Here is a 21,688-nt window from a genome sequence, read left to right as displayed (position 1 = left end):
ACAAGGTTCCATGGTACAGGCTGGGGGAGTGCAGGAGCACTCAGAGGTATCCGGCTCAAGGTGCAGATGAATTCAGGGTCTCCTCATCGTCCCCAAAGCCTTGCTCATAAGCCCTGTTCCTGGTGTCTGCTCAGCACAGAGGTGAGGAGCTCAAGGTTGACACCCCCGTGTTCCTGCCCTCATGGGATGGCAGGTGGCACTGGCCTGCGTTTGTGGGCTGGGATCTGTCCTGTGTCTGCAGGCTGAGGTCTAAATTCTGGCTTGGAGCCCTCCTCCCTGTGTGACCTCAGGGACACTGTCTGAAGCATCAGGGCCCAGTTAGATAAAGAAGTGGCCCACAAACAACCCTAAGCCCCCCTAGCACACTCACACTTGCCTTCTTTAAAGCAGGGTAGAAAGGAGGCGCTGAGAATGAAGTCACAGCTGCCGTTCATCGAATCCTTGTTCTGAACCAGGCACACCTGCACCCCAGTCCCGCATAACCTTTAACAGGGCAGAGCAAGAGGCACTGCTATCCTTCTAGGTGGCGAAACTGAGGCATAGGGGATGAAAGTACCTGGCCAGAGTGAGCAGCATGAAGGTCCGGGGCTGTGCCCCCAACCCAGATGCTCCTGACTGCCTGACGCTGAGGATGAGTGGGCAAAGGTGCCTACTGGCTTCCGCAACCAGGGCTCCAGGAGCTACGAAAACACAACCACAGGCAGCCTGACCTCCACAGCCACAGTGCAGGGAGGCTCAGGAGGGACCTGGGTGTCCGAAGCTCCTTTCCATGAGCAGTGAGGACCACCGTAAGCATGGAAACCTGCCCCCGCCATGCAGCCTGGAGGCCATGCTCCCGGCAAGTCACAATACGCCCCCATCTCCTACTCAAGGCTCAGGACACGTGGGGTTCTATCCTCTACTGGAAGGAGACTCATTCCGAGGAGAGAAGCTGGGGCTGAATGCTAGGTTCCCTCGTCCTTTACAGAAGACAGCTGGAGTAAAGGGCTAGGGCAAACTCATCCCACCTGAGGTCCTCAGAGCACTTGCGGCCCAGGACGGCTTCGAATGTGACCCAACACAAATTTGTAACCTTTCTTAAAACGTTATGAGATTTTTTTTTGCGATTTTCTTTTAGCTTATCAGCTATCTTTAGTGTATTTTATGTGTGACCCAAGACAATTCCTCTTCCAATGTGGCCCAGGGAAGACAAAAGATTAGACCACCCTGGACAGAGATTCTGGAGATCCTGGTTAAACTACGTGTGTTTTTTGGGAGGTCCTCCTGTGGCCCTGTGAGGTTCACCTGCAGATTGTAACAGGAAAGGAGGGTCACTATGTGATCCTGGAGGTTCCTCTTCAAATTCCATGTTATTTTTATATTAAGAGTGGATTTTTAAAAATTCAGCAGTGAGTAGACAATTCTCAAAGGTGTCACCGGAAGTCGGAGCTGTTTGTCTCTGATCTGAGTGTGTATAGCATTATCGATTACACTATCAATACAGTTCCATGGCAGGAAGAGTTTCAGTGTACACTGTGGTCATCTGAGCTAGAACATTCTGAAACTCCTTTTTCAATTAACTGGAAAATCAACCGGCCAACCGGTGGGAACACCTCACTAGTCTTGTGTGTTTATTTGCCCATCCGATCTGGTCTTCACAAGCTGTGGCCTTTTTTTTTTATTATTATACTTTAAGTTCTAGGGTACATGAGCACAACGTGCAGGTTAGTTACATATGTATACATGTGCCATGTTGGTGTGCTGCACCCATTAACTCGTCATTTACATTAGGTATATCTCCTAATGCTATCCCTCCCCCCTCCCCCCACCCCATGACAGGCCCCTGTGTGTGATGTTCCCCTTCCTGTGTCCATGTGTTCTCATTGTTTAATTCCCACCTATGAGTGAGAACATGCGGTGTTTGGTTTTTTGTCCTTGCAATAGTTTGCTGAGAATGATGGTTTCCAGCTTCATCCATGTCCCTACAAAGGACATGAACGCATCCTTTTTTATGGCTGAATAGTATTCCATGGTATATATGTGCCATATTTTCTTAGTCCAGTCTATCACTGATGGACATTTGGGATGGTTCCAAGTCCTTGCTATTGTGAATAGTGCTGCAATAAACCTACGTGTGCATGTGTCTTTATAGCAGCATGATTTACAGTCCTTTGGGTATATACCCAGTAATAGGATGGCTGGGTCAAATGGTATTTCTAGTTCTAGATCCTTGAGGAATCGCCACACTGTCTTCCACAATGGTTGAACTAGTTTACAGTCCCACCAACAGTGTAAAAGTGTTCCTATTTCTCCACATCCTCTCCAGCACCTGCTGTTTCCTGACTTTTTAATGATCGCCATTCTAACTGGTGTGAGATGGTATCTCATTGTGGTTTTGATTTGCATTTTTTCGTTTTTCTTTTTTTAACAACAACAAAAAACCCCAAATCTTTCAGTAGCCTGTGATGTATATTGTAATCCCTAGAGCAACCCCTGAAACATAGTGCAGAGAGGTAGAGCTAAAAATCCTATAGCTAAATTAACATAGAATTCTAAAACAAATTAATTAACACAAGAAAGGAGAGAAGCAGGAAAAGAGACATCACAAACAGAGCAGAGCAAACAAAAACACAAATACAAGTGTTAGACCCGACTCCACCCCCACCAGTAACATACCAGAAAGTATCAGGAATCCTGTTACAAGGCAAGGGTTGTCAGAAAGGATGGGGAAAAAAATCAAGGTTCAAAGACATGCTGTTCACAAGACACACACTGTGAGTACACAGACAGGTGGAGAGTCAAAATATGAAAAATACCATGCCAATGGTGAACGTAAGAGGCTTATTCACGGCTGATATTAACATTGGATAAGAGAGACTTAAGGCAAGATGTTTCACCAGGAAAAAACAAAAAGCAAAAAAAAAAAAAAAAAATCAATCCCCAAAACAAACAAAAAAAAACACCTGCCCACAACAAGATTTGCACAAGAATGTTCTCAGCAGCTTCACCCATCATAGCCCAAGCTGCATGCAGTATTTTCATTGGAAGAAGCAGAGCCAACATCAAACCAAGCCTACAGCACATCCAAAGAACACAGCACAGGCAAAACCATAGTGAAGAAATCACAGCAGTGGCTGCTCTAGGGCCAGAGGAGGGGCTGACTGAACAAGGATATGAGAACTTTCTAGAATGATGTTCTGCATCTTGATTGGAGTCTTGGTCACCCAAATGTAAGCATTTGTCAAAGCTGAGGGAATGCGTGCCTAAAATGGATGGCTTTTTCTCTAGGAAATGTTGCTTCATTAATGTAAATGAATATTGAACACTACTGAGATACACACAGAAGTGTTTAGGTGTGAAGTATACTGACGTCTGCACTTTTATCTTGAAACGCATTGAAAAGTAAAATGGATACAGGGATGGGCAGAGGATAGATATGGGATGAAGGAAACACAGGAACATGTGAATTTTAGATTTTTTTTTTTTTTGAGACAGGGTATTGCTCTGTTGCCCAGGCTGGAGTGCAGTGGCGTGATCGGCTCACTGCAGCCTCAACTTCCTCCTGGTTCAAGTGATCCTCCTGCCTCAGCATCCTGAATACCTGGGAATACAGGCACACACCACCATGCCCAGCTAATTTTTAATTTTTTTTTGTACAGACAGGGTCTCACTGTGTTGCCCAGACTGGTCTCAAACTCCTGGCCTTAAGTGATCCTTCTGCCTCAGCCTCCCAAAGTGCTGGGATTACAAGAGTGAGCCACTGTGGCTGGCCAATTATAAAATCTAGACAGTGGGTATATAGATGTCCGTTGTTCAATTCCCTCAGATTTTCTGTAAGTATGAAAATTTTCATAATGAAATACCTAGAGAAAAAAATGTTCGAGGAGCTTTCCCTTGCATGGCACGGCACCTGGACCTTCCCTTCCTCTCTCCTGCTGTGTGTCCCTGGCTTGCTGCACTAGACTCTTTTTTTTTTTTTTTTTTTTTGAGATGGAGTCTCACTCTGTTGCCCAGGCTGGAGTGCAGTGGCACTATCTCAGCTCACCACAACCTCCACCACCTGAGTTCAAATGATTCTCCTGTCTCAGCCTCCCGAGTAGCTGGGATTACAAGTGCTTGCAACCATGCCCAGCTAATTTTTATATTTTTAGTAGAGATGGGGTTTCACCATGTTGGCCAGGGTGGTCTTGAACTCCTGACCTTAGGCGATCCACCTGCCTCAGCCTCCCAAAGTGCTGGGATTATAGGCATGAGCCACAGTGCCCGGCCTGCCCAGGACTCTCTTACCTTCTTTCTTTCTTTTTCTGAGACAAGGTCTTGCTCTGTCGCCCAGGCTGCAGTCTCAGTTTCTTAAGTGGCCATTCCCACCTCAGAGCCTCATCTGTTTCCTGCCTCCTCCCCTGCTGGGCAGTCCCGGGCTGCCCTGCAGCACAGCTGCTACCACCAAGGAAGCCTTGGGCGACCTCTCAGGATAAGCGGGGGGCTGGCGGCGGGGGGAGGGGTTCCAGGCTCCATGTGGCTGGACTCCCTCCCACAGCTCCTCCTGGGGGTTCGTAGGCTGTGCTGTAGTTAACGAGGGGAACGTCGTGTTCGGCTCCCCCTCAGGTGCCTGAGCTCCAGGGCCTGGGACATGTTTCTCCTGGTTGAAGGTCTAGGTCCAGAACCATGCCTGACACATCACAGACTCAACATTAAGTCCTGAATGAAACGGACGAGGCCACCGCCGCCTTCTGGTCCTCATACCTCAACAAATAGCATCGGCTCCTACAGGATCATGTTAATTTATTAAAACAGCTGTTTGGGGGCCCTGCCCTTGTTCTCCTGCCCCTGCCATGGGCCCCTGAACCTTGAACTCAGCCCCTGTTACTCCCACCATGCAAGGTGGCTCCCTGTGGATAGTCCTCTTCCAGCCTCAGTTTCCCCAGTGCAGGGCATGGCATCTGGCGGAGGGCCCACGCCAAAGAGTGCAGGTTGGGCGAATGAATGTCAGCTCAGTCATTTGCAGCTGATCACAATAGGCATGCACGAGGCGCTACCACACTCAATCACAGCCTCAGATGCTCCACCTTCCAGGAGAAAATGATAGCTAGAGAAACAGATAAAGAATTCACAAAATAGCAAATAACGCCAGTTTTCAATAAGTCCCTTTCTCTCCAATGCTTTGTTATCCAAAATTGATGCCTTTGACTAGATGTCTCTTAGAGAAATTCTTAACTGCTATGTAATAAAATCTATTAGAGAATAATTCAAGTTCTCTCACATATAGATTTTTGTAGATACAGAATGTTTTAGAAGAATTATTCTCTCACACATATTTTATTAAAAAGCCTGGTGCTAAACATCGCTCTTCTTGAAACAAAATTACTACCTGCAAGGAAATAGCTATTTTGGAGAGAAAAAGAAAAGCCTTCCAATTGAGCCCTTCTGTATTTCATTATGAGTTGTTTGTTAAGTACTGAAAGGATAATGGATAACAATGCATTTGTTAAATGAAAAAACTTCAAATATAAAGATTCATTTATGGGTTTCTTTCATAGCAGCATATGATTTTCTAAGTCTATTCAAGTTGATAGATTTCAGCGATTTGCACAGTATGCACGAGCAGAGGTGGGGGTCTCCTTATTGAGTTTAGAGAAAGGAGGATGAAGGCAACATTTGACACCAAACTTCTCTCGAGTTTGAGGATGAACAGCAGCCGTGATTTTAAGTCAGAACCTGGGACCCAGCCTCCAGAACTTGCAGGGGCTCACACCCAGCCCGGCTCGGCCCCACTGAGCGCTCCTGTCTCCACCTGCTCCTGGAGTTGTGTGTGATGAGCAGCAGTCAGACGGCCATTTTCTCCCCAGCCTGCTCTTTGTCTGGCAGTGTGGCTGCTGAGCTGTCACAACAACACAGACCTGGAGAGTCCGCTCCAGAGTGTTCAGGTCTTGCTTCAGGGGGAGGTTTGTGGGGGACACTGAGGACCATGGGCCAGGCTCTGAGGGGCATCCACCTGCCTCCATGGCAATTTGTACGGGCCACTGTTCTCCCAGGACTGGGGTGGGGGCCACCTGTAGCGGAATCCACACTGGGTCTGCTCTCTTTCTGGAGGGGGTCACCCTAGAGGGTTGGGAGTGAAAGTTTATCATGACTCTGACCTGCATTACCATCCAAGAAGACTGGCTAGGGAGGCATGAGAGGAGGGGAGAGGAAGGAAGACTAAACCAGACAAGACCACTAGCCCCAAGATGGAGTGGGAATCTACCCTGTGTGCAGCGGATATCCCCCTGGGAACCTGTCTCCTGCAGGGAGGCACAAAGCGACAGGCTGCCATTTTATCTCACTGGCAGCCACCAGCCATTGTGAAGGAGAAGAGCCGGAATGGCACACGGGTTGTAGCCGTAGAGGCATTGCCTAAGGCAGCGCATCAGCACCCACTTTCCAGCTTGTTTCCTAACAACTTATTTTTATGGGGCAACAGAGGTGATGACCTGCAGAGGGGAAGACTGCTCTGTAAGAAGCAAAAAACTCAGAGAACTAAAAGGTTACTTGTGGGCATTGTCCAGGAGAAGCCAAACAGATCTCTAGGCCAAGCAGGGCATAGCACGCTTCACATATGATGGAAACAAATCTCTAGGCTAAGCAGGGCATAGCATACTTCACAGACAATGGAACTCCGGAAAGGCCCACAGCGAGTGTGGGCTACAGCACTGACACAGGCCTGTATTCTGCGTCTCCTGGAAAACAGTCAAGAGATAGAAAAGTCCACTTTGGTCAATTTCCAGGAAAATTCCTGAGCTAAAATTAAATGGGTTTGAGTGACTTTATTAGAGTCTAATTTACGTACTTCATTCAAACCTACTGGGCTCCACCTACTTCTCTACCATGGGCAAATCCCAAGCCCTGGTTGACCATCCCAGGCTGACAGGCACGACAGCTCAAAGCTGAAAATGATTCTCCATCCACCTCCACTGCCAACTTGGCTCATCCCTCATCTTTCATGGCTGCTTCAACTTGCCATCCAGGTTTTGGCTTAACTGTGGACTCCCCAAAGTGGTCTTCTCTGACAATACTATTTAAAGTAGCCCTTCCCCAAATGTTCTATACTATCTTTCAATATTTAATATTTTGATTCTGTACATGGCACTTCTTGCTTCCTGATATTGTCATTGTACATGGACTTGTTCATTATATGCCTGGCCCCCACCCCAGACTGTGAGCTCCATGAAAGCAGACATCTCATCTGATATTTTCACCACGGCATTGCCAGTCCAAATCACGCCTGACACAAAGCATGCCACCATCTATCTGAGTCTTCATCAGGAAAACAAACTTGCAGAGAGGCCAGCCAACACCAACATCACTATCATCAGCATCAGGAACATCAGTACCGCCATCAACATCAACAATGACACCACCAACATCAGCATCAAGAACATCAACATCACCAACATCAACAATATTGACACCACCAACATCAGCATCAGCAACATCAATACCACCACCATCAACACCACTAACATCAACAATATTGACACCACTTACATCAACACCACCACCATCAACATCAACATCACAAACATCAACAATATCAACACCACCTACATCAACACCAACATCAACACCACCAACATCAACAATACTGACACCACCATCAGCATCAGCAACATCAACACCACCAATATCAACAATATCAACACCACCAATATCAACAATATCAACACCACCAATATCAACAATATCGACACCAACAACATCAGCAATATCGACACCACCAACATTAACAATATCGACACCACCAACATCAACACCACCACCATCAACACCATCAACAATATTGACACCACCATCAGCAACATCAATACCACCAACATCAACACCACCATCGACAATATTGACACCACCAACATCAACACCACCAACATCAACAATACTGACACCACTTACATCAGCACCACCAACATCAGCACCACTAACAGTATCAGCAACATCAGTACCACCAGCATCAATAATATTGACAACACCAACATCAATACCATCAACATCAATACCACCAACATCAACACTACCAGCATCAGCACCACCGCCACCAACAATGGCACCACCAACATCAACACCATTACATCAGCATCAACATCAAGAGCAATGGCACCAACATCAGCAACATCAACACTACTGACATCAGCAGCAAGAACATCAATACCACCAGCATCAACATCAACACAACTAGCATCAATACCACCAACGAAAACAGAGGAAATATATGTACATGGGGCCAAAACAACAGAGAGACAATGGCAGACTTGTCTTAAAATTTCACTTTCTTCAAGACTGCATCACAATTTTTGCGTATCTTTAAATCACAGTTTGTATCTTTAATATTCTTTCCATTATGTAAACTCTCCATGGTGCACAGTTGTAGGCACCCTTTTGTGCTGTCTTCCTTTGTTCCATCTTTTCCTTTTCACTAGCCCTTAGTTGTGAAGTTACCAGCATCACGAGTCATACACAGCCTGCTCAGAACACCTGTCCTGCAAATGCTCGGGGCTAGAGCTCTGTACTGTCCACCTTGGCTGGAGGTGATGAACTTAAGAACCAAGATTACAGCCCAACCAAGTAACCTGTGTGGAACTGGGCATGTTGAATCTAAGCTGCCTTGGCCCAACTTAACACAGAGAAAACTCTCCTGAAAACCAGTGTGCTATCTTTGGGCTTATCCACACTATGCGCACACTTCTAATTAGAAAACCCAACATAAGAAAGAAAACAAAACCCTGCTATAATATAACATGGTGTTGGCTATACCATATGCCAAATGTTGTATTGCAATGGAGTCAATGATAAAATTCTGTTATTCTTGAATAAGGCACTTTGTTCCCAAGGATTTCAGGCAGCCTACATTTGGTATCCAGTGTGGGCGAGAAATTCCAATCAGTCAAGCACACCCTGAGTGTGACCACATAAATCTTACACAAATTGTATCAGATGACTAAAGTACACTCAACCATCCTTATCAGCACTTTGATTATCCTGAATGTAACTTTACGTTTCTTTAAGGATTTGGGAGGTATTTTAAGAGCCTTGCAGTTGGATTCATCACATGACAATTAGACAGCCGTGTGCTGTGAGCAGGGCCTGCTCAGTCCAGGAGTGCCCCCCGTCACTCCGACTCCCACCACTGCCAGAGGCAAACACTGTAACTTTTTTTTTTTGAGATGGAGTCTCACCCTGTTGCCCAGGCTGGAGTGCAATGGCGTGATCTCAGCTCACTGCAACCTCTGCCTCCCGGGTTCAAATGATTCTCCTGCCTCAGCCTCCCGAGTAGCTGGGATTACAGGCACCCACCACTATGCCCAGCTAATTTTTGTATTTTTAGTAGAGACAGGGTTTCACCACGTTGGCCAGGCTGGTCTCGAACCCCTGACCTCATGATCCACCTGCCTCGGCCTCCCAAAGTGCTGGCATTACAGGCATGAGCCACTGCGCCCGGCCACCATGACAATTTTTAAACCACCAATTAGTTTGGCTTCTTCCAGAGGTGCCTATAAGTGGACTTGCACTGCTGAGCCAGGCCCCTTCCGCTTCGTGTGTTTTCAAGGCTCAGCCATGTGGCTGCACACCCTAGCAGGCTGCTCCTTCTCATCAGTGGGTAGAATTCCACCACATGGATGAACCCCAGTATGTTGTGGGTCACCTGGGCTGTTTCCAGTTTTTGACCTATTGTGAATAAAGCTGCTTTGACCATTCTCTTGAATGTCTTTCATTTCTTTTGGATAAAATATAGGAAAAAAATTGTTGGGCCACAGATTAGATGTCCATTTGATTTTCTTTTTTGAAACAAAAACCAAGAACCAATGTGATGGTCATCAACCAGGAATTTGTGAGCTAAAACAGCAGTCCCCAAACTTGGCCCATCATCACAATGATCTGAAAAATTTAAAAAAAAATACAACTCCTTGGGCCCATGACCTGCTGACTTAGACTCTCCCTTAGAGGGGCCCAGGAGCTGTATGTTTCAGAAGCATCCCCAAATAATGCTGATGTAGAAGTACTTTTGGAGGCCCCTGGTAGGCCAGCACAGTGGTTTAGGATGTGGACTCTGAGGCTCTCAAACTGAGTTCAAAAAGCAAGTCAGTTAATGGCTGTGCATCAGTATCTTAACCTATGAATTGAGGATCGTGGCAGCAACATCTTCCTAGGACTGCTGAGAAGATGAAATTGCTTAATGCGTGCAAAGCGTCTGTGCAAGTTATTAACGTCAGGACTGGCCAATCGGCTGAATCAACCCTGGCTGAGGGTTCAACTCATCCTCGACTGTGGTCATTAGCATCGGGGCTCAGCCCCCTGGGGAAGGAGGAGTGACAAGTCAAGTTAGATTTCCAGTTTAATGCCACTTTATCACGACTATTAGGTGGGTGCAAAAGTCATTTTGGTTTGGCCATTAAAAGCAGGTTTGAACATTCTCTTGCATCTCTTTAATTTCTTTTGGATAAAATCCAGGAAAGAAACTACTGGGCCATAGAGTAGGTGTAGATTTGACAATGCTGACCCAAGTAATGGCAAAAACCACAATTACTTTTGCACCAACCCAATACATTTGTTCAATAATAGTCACTGGGCTGTGCCTGGGTCTGAACCTGGTTCTATCTGCTCAAACAGGAGAGGCACAGGAGCTTAACAGAATAATGGCTGTCAAGCAATTGAAGACCCCCTTGGAAAGGGTGGAGCTGTCACATGCAAAGCTCTCTTCTCAGTTCTCCTGAGAAGAGGCGACTCGTGTTAGTGAGGCTGGGAGGAGATGGGGTTGCCCAGACTTAATACCCAGGAGCTTCCAAGCAGAGGTCTGGGAAGTCCTGTTTGTGTTTCAGAGTCATCAATGAGTGCATTGCACAGTAACGCATTGAAGTGTAAAGTAATGGAATATATTATTTTTCCAAACTGATGGATGAATTTAAAAAAAAAGTGATTTAAGATGGCTAGACATACTGACTTCCTGACTTTGCATCTTTAAACATAATAAAAAGCTTCCAGGCCACACTGATGGGGCTGATCTGAGGACATACTGTGAATGGCAAGGTCCATGGTGACTGTTTTAGGTGCACCCACAAATTCTTCCAATCTTTTAGAGACTACTCAAGGAACACAGAGAACAGCCGACAGGAGCATGCTTAGTTCTAAAAACATTATCAAAAGCATTTTCAGCCTTATGGCTTGATAACAAGGGCATCAAATATTGGCAGCTGCAGAGCCCCATTTTTTTTCTCTCTCTCTCTTTTGTCTCTCCATGTTCAGTCCTCTTGATACCAGTCAGGCCCCACGACATTTTTTATAGAGTACATACTTCTTGTACTTTAGAACTTATCCTGCAATTTAAGACAAATCAGCCCAGTACAAATTCTACCTCAAGTATAATTCACTCCAGTGGAAACAATCCTAAAGCAATCACCACCGTGGGATGCCTTTGAGCCAAAGCTACTTAGAAGGATCATTCCACAGGGGACCCGTGTGAACTCCAAGCATTTGTTTACAGAGGCGCTGAACAAATGAATTATTGTGGAATGATCTTTTAAAAAAATTAAAAACGGTTCTGTTCCGTTAAAAAGGCAGGAAGCTCTGTTGTGGCCGCTGGTCACAGTCACCTCACCCTGCCCTGTGCTTTGCTCTTTGGAGGTCAGAACAATACCTACTCTGTGCTTTGCCTTTTGGAGGGCAGAATAATAGCTGTGGGAAATGCAGCAATAGTAGATTCCTTCCTCGGCGATGTTAGATCACTGCTGCTAACACTAGGTCAAGACTGGCCATGATCATTGGCGTCATACAAGACAAATAAATGGCACTGAGTGATTGTCTTTGCCTAAGTTATTCTGCCCTTCTCCTCCCACAGAATCATCGATTGAACTGCCTCCATTTGCCTCTGGGGGTGACAAACAGATATCATGACAACCGTGGCTTGAAGACTTAAGACATTGCTTAGATGCTCCTATTAGGAAGAGCTGACCTCAGTTTGTATTTTTTCCAACCCATACTTAGTTGTAACTGCATATGCAGACTGTTTCCACGGACAAGACTTTGACACTTTGAATAGTACTTCAATTACGAAGCAGACTGGCGTGTTGACAAGTCCTCACGGGGTGAACTTGGCAGCTGGGAGACCCAGATGTTGGGCTTTGATAGATGTTGTTTGAGTAGTAGTGTTTCAAGCTAGATTTCTAGCTGGAAAATTGAGGGTCTAGTACAAATTAACCTGCTGAAGGGTTGTCTTGTCAGATTGCATTTAGTTTCCTTCTGATGCTTGTTCAGGGAGGAATGGGGAAATAGCAGAGAATCAGAAAATCACTGCAACTCCAGTTGTTTAAAGGGCAAGTTGAGACACAAACTCCCTGTGGCCATTTCCCTAAAATTCTCCTCTCATGTATTCAGAGGCTGAAGCTCATGGTACTTATTAGAATGAATGGAGGCTCCATTATGAGAACCAATAAATAAATTAAAAGTTGTGCTGAGAATGATTCATTAACAATCACATGGTGAGCCGAGGCCAATAATCCTGACCCAAATTTCATTCCTCACCCCTCACTTCCTTAGGAATCCTTCACTCTCAGGCCTCCCACTTCTTCCAGCCCACGAAGCCCCCTTCCCCCGCAGAACAGACTCACATAACTACGGTCAACTGATCTTTGGCAAAAGACAAAGGCAATTCAATGGAGAAAGCATTATCTTTTTCACAAATGGTGCTGAAACAACTGGACATTCACATACACAGAAATAAAACTGGACCTAGACCTTACACCCTTCCCAAAAATTATCTCACAATGGATCACAGACCTAAATGTAAAATGCAAACCTATAAAACTCCTGGAAGATAACATAGGAGAAAATCTAGCTGACCTTGACTGTGACTCCAGGGCCCTTCCTCTGCCAGGCACCACTGGGTACACACGAGAATAAAACAGTACCTCCCTTCAAGCATCTACCATATCCAGGGAACTGGAACTTTTATCTCATTATTATTTTATTATTTTTTAGAGACAGAGGCTCTTTCTGTCACCCAGGATGGAGTACAGTGATGCAATCATAGTTCATTGGAACCTTGAACTCCTGGGCCCAAGTGATACTCCTGCTTCAGCCTCCTAAGTGGCTAGGACTACAGGCACATACTACCATAACTGGCTACTTAATTTTTTTTTTAAGAGGTGAGGTCTCCTTATGTTGTTCAGGCTAGTCTCGAACCCCTAGACTCAAGCGAACCTCCCACCTCAGCTTCCAAAACTCTGGGATTACAGGCATGAGCCATCGTACCTGGCCTAAAATTTGTATCTTAGAAAGCAGATTATTAACTGAGGTGGCACCACACAAGTGTTTTATTTCCAACGATGGTTAAAATCCTAAGGCCAGCACATGCCGGACACTGGCTTTGCTGAGCCATGAGCGTTCAGAGCTACAGCCAGTCTTGTCCTCCTGCAGCCTGGATCTGACAATGCTTCCCGGACTGCGAGAGGAACAGGGTAGGGCCCCACGGGGACACAGGACCTGTCCTGGGACTGTGATGTCCATGTGTGAATGCTACCAGTCATGCACAGCCCCCACCCACAGGCTGGGCACTGGCCCATCACTCTCCAGCTCCTAAGCCTGATGCTGAGCTTCAGGGCTGCTGTGCACACAGATCTGTTTGTAGAACTGTGCAGGTTTCTGGGCTGTATTTTGCTTACAGCATGGCGGTGTGGAAGGATGAAACAAGGAATGCAGCAGCATTGGACATTTTGCCTTTAGCTGAGTTTCTTTTGTGTGTTTTATGAATTTTTTGGGCTCGTGATATCCTGGAAGTCTAAAGAAAGCATGGCTCACCTATGCGGGCCAATGCTCCCCATTTCTCTCACGTTAGATGGCATAGCCTGGCATTCTGGCACCCCAATCCAGTAAAATAATTTGGAGCTGATGCACTCATCAGATTGTTGGTCTCGACTCAAGGGGGTGGTGTAATTAGTGGGTGCGTGTGTTGGGAGTCTCTCCAACCAAGGGAGGATCAGAGGAACGTGGAGTGTAGACGTGTGAATGAAGCAATTCAGTGCTGCTCCAAGGAGCTGGATGTCGACAGAAACCCGTATGGGGCAAGTGCTGAGAGAAACAGGGCCCGTGCCTGGGCACTGCAGCACAGACAGCTGTCTGGCCCACCAGATGGGCAGTGGTACCTGGCCAGGGCTGATTCACCCTGCAGTGGTCCTGTTCTGCACAAGAGTCAGGAGAATCCTCCATCATCGCCATGGAGAACCAGCTTCACTGAGGCTGCAGAAGAGGTCAATGAGCCACCCTCCCCACCAGTACCCTGCAATCCTTGGGCCCACACCTGGGCCTCGTCTGGCAGAGCACCGTGGAGCTCTCTCCTTGGCTGGGGTTGCCCTTAGGAGCCTGGGCTGGATCTTCTTCAGCTGTGCATCTCCGGGACCCAACACCACCCTGGCAGAGTGAATGGGCTCTGTGCATGCTTGGATCCACAGAGGAAGGAGGGCCCTGGTGTGCTAACTGCAGCCTCCTCCGCAGGGATGCTTTCACAATAGGGAATGTTCTTGGAGAGAGTGTGGTGCTGTGATCCACAATAGCCACCCCAAATCCAGCCAAGCGTTGGAGGGTGGAATAACAAAAAGTTGGGCAGGTCTCCCTGTCACCCTATAATTATATTAGAAAGTTAATGGAATACAATTCTCTATTGGGGAGATCTTTAGAAGCTCACGGCTGCCAAACACATCTCGCAATGGAACAGGGGTGCTGACTTCAATTTTGAAGAACCCAAGTCCTTTGCCAAAATCATCAAAATGAAGCACAGCATGCCAATTCATTTCACGAAATGAAGCTGCCGTTGGAAAGGGATGAAATTCTTATTTCTTACCAGGCAGCCGGTGACCATATTAATGCTTGCATATGAAATTCACAGGTACATCCCAATAGTCTTTTCTTCCTAGCCCCAGGAGAAAACACTGGCACCTTTATCCTCTGAACATATTGAATCTGCTTTGCAAACAGATGAGATGGAAACAGGGTTTGGCCCCTGTCATTGTAGCTAAGCCTGAGGAGGGCTGTGGGGTCCTGGATAAGGTGGCTCAACACTGTGATGATGCGGGTTCAAATCCTGGCTGGGCTGCTGGGCGCACCCCCTGAGCCCCCTCTGTGTTCAGGTGTGAAGGGTCATGATAGCTCTTTCCCCACTGGCTGGTCTTAGGGATCCGATGAGCACACAGGTACCTTCTCCCCAGGGTGCCCACGAGGCCTTGCACGCCCAGCAAATGCGAGCCACCCAAACGTGGTCCACGTTCTTCCTGACTGACTGCGTGAAGCTGGCACTGGCTCCAGGGCTGCTCTTCACGTGGTTGTGGTGATAAAGGAAACCAAAGCCAAGTAAGGTTGCTCAGCATCCAAGGTGGCAAATTAGCAGAAGATAAACGGGCCTGATGAAGAGTGGGGCAGGCTGGAGAAACAGCGATGCAGCTCGTGCCCAGTGAGGGCACTGCAGATATGAGAGTCTGGAGGAGTAAAAATGCCCAATAAAGTTGTCTGCAGAGGCTTTAGGGAGAAAGTGGGGGTTGCGGTGGGCAGAAGTTCAGAAAAGACAAGAGTGCATATTTGCATTTCAGGAAGGAGATGAAAGCGCAAAAGAATAAAACGTGGGAATGTACATGGCATGGTGGCAAGTTTTTGTTCTGAGGGGAGGTGCTGGTGGGAAAATATTATGTGGTAAGTGTGGGTGTTGGGACCTCAGGTATGGTCTAGGCAGGTGATGCTGCTTCCCAGGGGTGAGTAGGGTCTGCTGAAGCCTGGCCAACTAAGTAGGACTTGACGAAGGCTATGCTTTAGGAAGATGCGTCCCCAGCGGAGAGCAAAGAGAAAATACCAAGAGCAGCATCTGGAGTGAGCACAAGGCCAAAGGAGAGACACATCTGCAAGTGGCCAGCCATGAGGTGATGAGTATATCAGAAAGATGGGACAGGAGCGAAAGGGAAAGAAAACGTGGTAAGATAAAACTACACTACAAGCTTTTCATTAGCTTTGGCTGCATAACCACCCCCCTCCAAAATTCATAAATCTGTGGGTCAGCAATTTCGACGGAGCTCAGCTGCATGGTTCTTCTGCAAGTCTTGCCTGGGGTCACCTGGGAAGGTGTCAGTCACATGGTTTCTCCAGGGCATGCATCCACTAGGTCTTAGGCTATTTGTGTGTGTGTTGGGGGCAGCGGGGGCGGGGCGGGGGGGGCGGGTGCTGGTGCTCCTCTCCACCAGGTTCCTTCTCATCCCAGTCTCAGGCTCCAACCACAGTGAAAGAGGGCCACCCCGAAGCAAGGGCGCATCCAGGCCTCAGCTCACAGTATGTTTGCTAACATCTCGTCAGCCAAAGAAAGTCCATGGCCAAGCCCATCCCTGAGAAGAGGAGGAGTCAATTTCATGCTCAATGGGCGTGCACAGACATGGGATGAATTCTTGTAACCATAACCGTCTCTTCAAGCAATCGACATGAGGACTGAACTCAAGGGAGACACTGATGACTCCCATGGTTTTGAGCTTGGGTTATTAGAACAGGAAAGTTTGGTAGAAAAGCCACAAACACAGATCAAACTGGGCCCAGCTGAACGTTGAAGGGGGAGAGTTATGTCTGGGATTCTCCTCTTTCAGGTCCAGCTGGATCCAGGTGCTAAACCACTCTCTCTCCTCTCAAGGGTAGCTCAAGCACTCTCTCTTTTCATCACTCATCTTGTCTTACTTCACTACCACTAGTGTTCCTATCTACCTGGACTCCCACAGCTCTGGGCTCAGCAGCTCCAGGGGGAAGAAAGCTTCCCTCTGAAAAGTTTTCACAGCAGCAGAGCTGAAGGTTTCGGACCATCCTGACTTAGCACAGCCTGGTAGTTAAGAGCAGCAGATCTGGGGGCTGACCCATTGGTATCAAATCCTGGCTCTACCATCTTCCAGCTGCACAAACCTGGCTAAGTCCTGTGCCTCGGCTTCTTGATCTGTAAAATGGGGATGCTGATGGCATGAGGTACCACACAGGGCGGACGTGCGGATTCACTCAGTTAACCTGAATACAGTGGAGGACCAGGCCTGGCATGTGGCAGGTGCTCCATCGGCGGCTGCTGTTGCTTAGTGTCATTCCATCAACAACTCGGCTCATTGCCCATCTCTACAGACAGCTAGGCCAGGTGGATGAAGCACAGTGATTGGCTGGTTCTGGTCACATGACTGTTCCAGGAGCATCCAACCACATGGGGCGAGTCAGCTGAGTAAAACCCAGCCCTGTCAGCAGAAGCGGTGCAGCAGAACAGGGGTAGGAGAGGAAGGGCAAAAAACCAGTCCCAGCCAGGAAACCTACCATGAACAGAACTAGGTCTCAGGCTCCACCCACAGTAAAAGAGGGCCAACCTGCTGCACAGGCGCGTCCAGGCCTCCGCTCAAGTTTAACAGGACTTGGGTGGGGCCACAAGAGAGAAAACAGCGACCTCACCCTTCCTGGCACCTGAATGTACTAAATGAAGCCACTCTGATTGCTGGCAGTGTGTGCCAGAAAGATCTGTGTGGTTAAAATGGACCAATTATTTTCATAAGAATTACCTTATGAATAAAAGAAATGCAGTCTGGGCAGACACGTACAAACATCTTGAGCAATGTTTGCAGGAATTCATGCCAGGATCCCTCCGTGGCCAGAGCTCTGATAACTTCTGGCTTCTTCCGGGCCCTACAGAACCGTGCCTCCATTAATCTGCACTTTGCAGAAAATGTGGCAAGCAGAGAATTTCAGCAACTTGAATAATACGTGAGAGCAATGGGCCCAGAGCAAAGCGGGATTCTAAGGTCTCAGTTCTCAATAGCAACAGGGCCCATTTTGCTGAAAAATGAAGCTGCAGACCTTTTGCACGGGATCAGCTAGCTGAACCTTGAGAGTGGGAGGGACAGAGAAACAAAATCACCATGGATGAGACATACAAAGTCATCGATATGTATGGAAAAGTCATCGATATGTATGGAACTGAAAAACATATGCTATGGGGGAATATTTTATAAGTAAAAATTTATGAGCATTTTACTGTATTTGAAAACCATTTGCTGAGGCAGTTTGGTTCCTGGAAAGATGTTCTCTTATATACATAACGGCACAAACAGAATGAGAGACAAACTACGATTCTTTTGAATTGTTATTGCATTTTTAACCCCCATTTGTATCCATACCGTGTGTGCTTGCAGCCAGCATTTTTTAGCTCAAACTTGTGCTCTAGCAAGGAGCCTGCACTCTGTGAAATATCATTTTTTGCTTCCTCAAAGCTTGCACACCCTCTAAAGAAATGTTTACTGTATGTATCTGGAAGAAATGGCTGAAAGAACATGATGGTAAATTCAACTATATGGTTGCACAGATGACATAAGGGATTTAGAGATGCATTCCCCTTTAGACTTGACAACAGAAATAAAGCCTGGGCTGTAACAGCAAGGCACAATCATGCCCTACGCTGAGATTTTATTTGCAATGGCCCTTCATGGCCTTCCAAGTATTTTCTCAGACAAGTGCAGACCAGGAGTTCCCAGCTGCAACTCTGTTCCCCAATGTGTGGGACCAGGAAATTGTGTTGTTGGGGGGTTGTCCTGGGTGTTGCAGGACGTTCACCAGCGTCCCTGGCCTCCGTCCCTCAATTCCAAAAGCATCTCCCTCCCCCACGCCCCAGCTGTGGCAATAATATGGCTCCAGACCCTACCACGTGTTCCCTGGGGGGTGAAACTGCAGTTGAGAACAAGATGTGTAGAGAAAAGGAAAGAGGATTTGTCACTGGGAGACTTGAGTTCTAGACCAAGGATGGTCACTGCCTAGAGTGACAGCTTTGGCAAAGTTCTTAACCGGGTACACTTCAGTCCATAGAACAGAAATGAAGCTGACTGAGAACGCCTCTCATGGATGTCATCTGACTACCAAGCAGAATCATCAACGTGGACACACTTTATAAACAGTAGCATCCGAGTTGTATAATCTTGGTCGCACAAATCCATGTGAGGGCAATGCATGTAGGAGCAGACCTAATGCACAGCCAACAAACTGCAGTTCAAAGATGGGGCATGAACTTCTTAACTTCAAACAACCAGCAGGTGTGGAAACTGGATCACAATTCTAGTCTCGTGACCTCTTTTGGTGGAATGATAATGCAACATCAGGCCACAGGCCTCAGCCGTTCCAACGCCTTACCAGGGCACAACCCGGATGCCCACACAGTGCTCTTGGGGAGATGCTCACCTGCCCTGGCTCAGCCCCGCCCTCCCCACACCTCCACACCTCCTTCCCCTGTGTCAGCCTAGCAGGCAGCCAGCCACCAGGCCCCGGTCAGGACGGGGATTCGCTGCCACTGGGAAGGGAGGGGCCTGGCTCCTGCAGGGTCCAGTTCTGCCTGGGTTCCTCAGGGAACATGTCTCATCGGGCACTTTGATAAAACCTGGACGAAGAGGGAAAGGAGGCTTCCCAGAGATGGCGTGGCAGGGACTGTGTATCCACCACCCACCTTGGAACAACGGGAAACCCAAACAAAATAGACAGACAATGGTGCTGAGGCAGTGGCACAGGGCAGTGGCCCAAGCAGAGGACACAGCCAGGGGGCGCCACAGCTGCCCCGGCTTCCGCTTGGGGAGTTTCCAGGCTACCACGAGAGGGGGAGCCTGGGGTCCTCCTGGGGTGGAAGAGATGGATTGGGAGTCTGTTGGGGAAAAAATAGGGCCCATGAGAATAAAAAGCAATCAATAAAATATATCAGGATGACAGAATTAGCCAAGAACATTAAAAAGTTACCATTCCTATATCCCGTATTTGTTGAAGAATGCAGAAGAAAACATCGACAGATCAAGACACAAAAGATGTCCCGAATCAGACTTCTATAGATGAAAACTATAAGGTCTGAAATGAAAAATACACAGAATGTGATTCATAGCAGATGGGACACTGCAGAAGAAAAAGAAAATGAACTTGAAGATAAAGTATCTAAAATGAAACAGCCGGAGAAAACATAATTATCAAAAACAGAAATGGCCAGAATCAGCGAGCTATGGGGCGACCCTGAGTAGCCTGTTACACAGTCATTAGGGTTCCCAAAGGAGGTGGGGGCAGAGTGACAAAAGCCATGGAATCATGACCACGATTTTCCCAGTCTCATGAGAACTACAGATCCAAAGATCCAAGAAGCTCAGCAAACCCCAAAGAACCAAATAAAACATGAAGAAAACTAGACCAAGCCCACTTAGAATCAAGTTGCTTAAAACCAGTGATCAGCTTTTTTATGGCTGCATAGTATTCCATGGTATATATGTGCCACATTTTCTTAATCCAGTCTATCATTGTTGGACATTTGGGTTGGTTCCAAGTCTTTGCTATTGTGAATAGTGCCACAATAAACATACGTGTGCATGTGTCTTTATAGCAGCAAACTATCGCAAGGACAAAAAACCAAACACCGCATGTTCTCACTCATAGGTGGGAATTGAACAATGAGAACACATGGACACAGGAAGGGGAATATCACACACCGGGGCCTGTTGTGGGGTGGGGGAAGGGGGGAGGGATAGCATTAGGAGATATACCTAATGTTAAGTGACGAGTTAATGGGTGCAGCACACCAACATGGCACATGTATACATATGTAACAAACCTGCATGTTGTGCACATGTACCCTAGAACTTAAAGTATTTAAAAAAAAACACCCTTGCATAAAACAAAAAAACAAAAAACAAAAAACCAGTGATCAAGAGAAAATCTTAAACGCAGCCAGGAGAGAACACACATTGCATACGGAGGAACAAAGATAAGAGCCACAACAGATTTCCTCTCAGAAATGATGCAAGCCAGAAGACCACGTGGCCATATTTTTAAAGCACTGAAAGAAAACATACAAACACACACCCCTTCAGCCTAAAATTCAAGATCCAGCCAAAAAAAAAAAAAATTTCAAAAATGGCAAAAGAAAGTTTCTCTGACATAGAAAAGCTGTTAGAATCGCTCGCAGGCAAACCTGCATGGCCAGGATGTTTAAGATGCCCCCAGGCAGAGGGTGATACAGCCAGACAGAAGCAGGTGCCCACACGAACGAATGGCCAGCACCAGAAACGCTAACTACAAAAGGGTGATTTTCAACTTTCATCTCTAGAAAATGGTGAATGAAACATAGTTTCTAGGTCTTCTGCATTTTTCACGTCACCGTGATCTCTTGCTGTTATGTCTGCTACACGCCGGGCTTCGACTCCTTGGTAGACCTGTAGAACCACAACACATATTCCCCCAGATCAAGACATGATGCCCAACACACATCAGGCACTCATAAATGCCCTAGAGGTTAATCTACACATGGAGGGCACGTTCACACCATGGTGGACAATAGTAACATGCACAGATGTGCTACACTGGACACACATGTGTTCTCTGTTGGAAGACAAGCAGAGTTGGCCCTGACTGGTCAAACATCTGAACTAGATCTATTTTATGTCCAAACTTACGTCACGCTCAGCAGAAACCTCATTGCTCCACAAGTAAACCACTGTCCCCTAGCCAGGTGCTACTTCGGAGCCAGTTATGAGGATACACACCCATTGCTGCTAGAGACGGGCCTCCTGGTGCTGCCCAGGACTCCTGATCATGTCCGTTCTGGCAGAGATGACAGCTCCTAGCACCTCCTCTTCCTGCCTTCTCGCTCTGCTGCACACTCCACGCTCACGGGCCAGCAGGGCAG

General features: G+C 47.1%; 1 protein-coding gene across 4 annotated transcripts in view, besides 1 other annotated feature; it reads right to left on the bottom strand.

Annotated features, from left to right (window-relative positions):
• The window catches only part of CDH4 (cadherin 4), a 688,357-nt gene that overhangs the window by 440,749 nt on the left and 225,920 nt on the right, over positions 1 to 21,688 (bottom strand). The window contains exon 1 of one of the 4 annotated variants that reach the window (NM_001252338.2): positions 377 to 448. The exons of the other annotated variants lie outside the window; for them this stretch is intronic. Coding sequence (NP_001239267.1) covers positions 377 to 434 — 58 coding nt within the window. The 5' untranslated portion in view covers positions 435 to 448. Of the gene's footprint in view, positions 1 to 376; positions 449 to 21,688 lie in introns of those variants that run through there. 4 annotated transcript variants of the gene reach the window in all.
• Positions 719 to 1,219: an enhancer, noted in NCBI's record as "H3K4me1 hESC enhancer chr20:60073706-60074206 (GRCh37/hg19 assembly coordinates)". NCBI's record gives its function as "activates a minimal SCP1, AML or CMV promoter by ChIP-STARR-seq in naive H9 embryonic stem cells {active_cell/tissue: H9 hESC(naive)}" and the evidence as "EXISTENCE:reporter gene assay evidence [ECO:0000049][PMID:30033119]".

Source organism: Homo sapiens, chromosome 20 (assembly GCF_000001405.40).
Source record: "Homo sapiens chromosome 20, GRCh38.p14 Primary Assembly".
In the NCBI taxonomy this organism is placed as follows: Eukaryota; Metazoa; Chordata; class Mammalia; order Primates; family Hominidae; genus Homo; species Homo sapiens.
The sequence above is the reverse complement of the archived record's forward strand: the minus strand, read 5'-3'. Positions and strand labels throughout refer to the sequence as shown.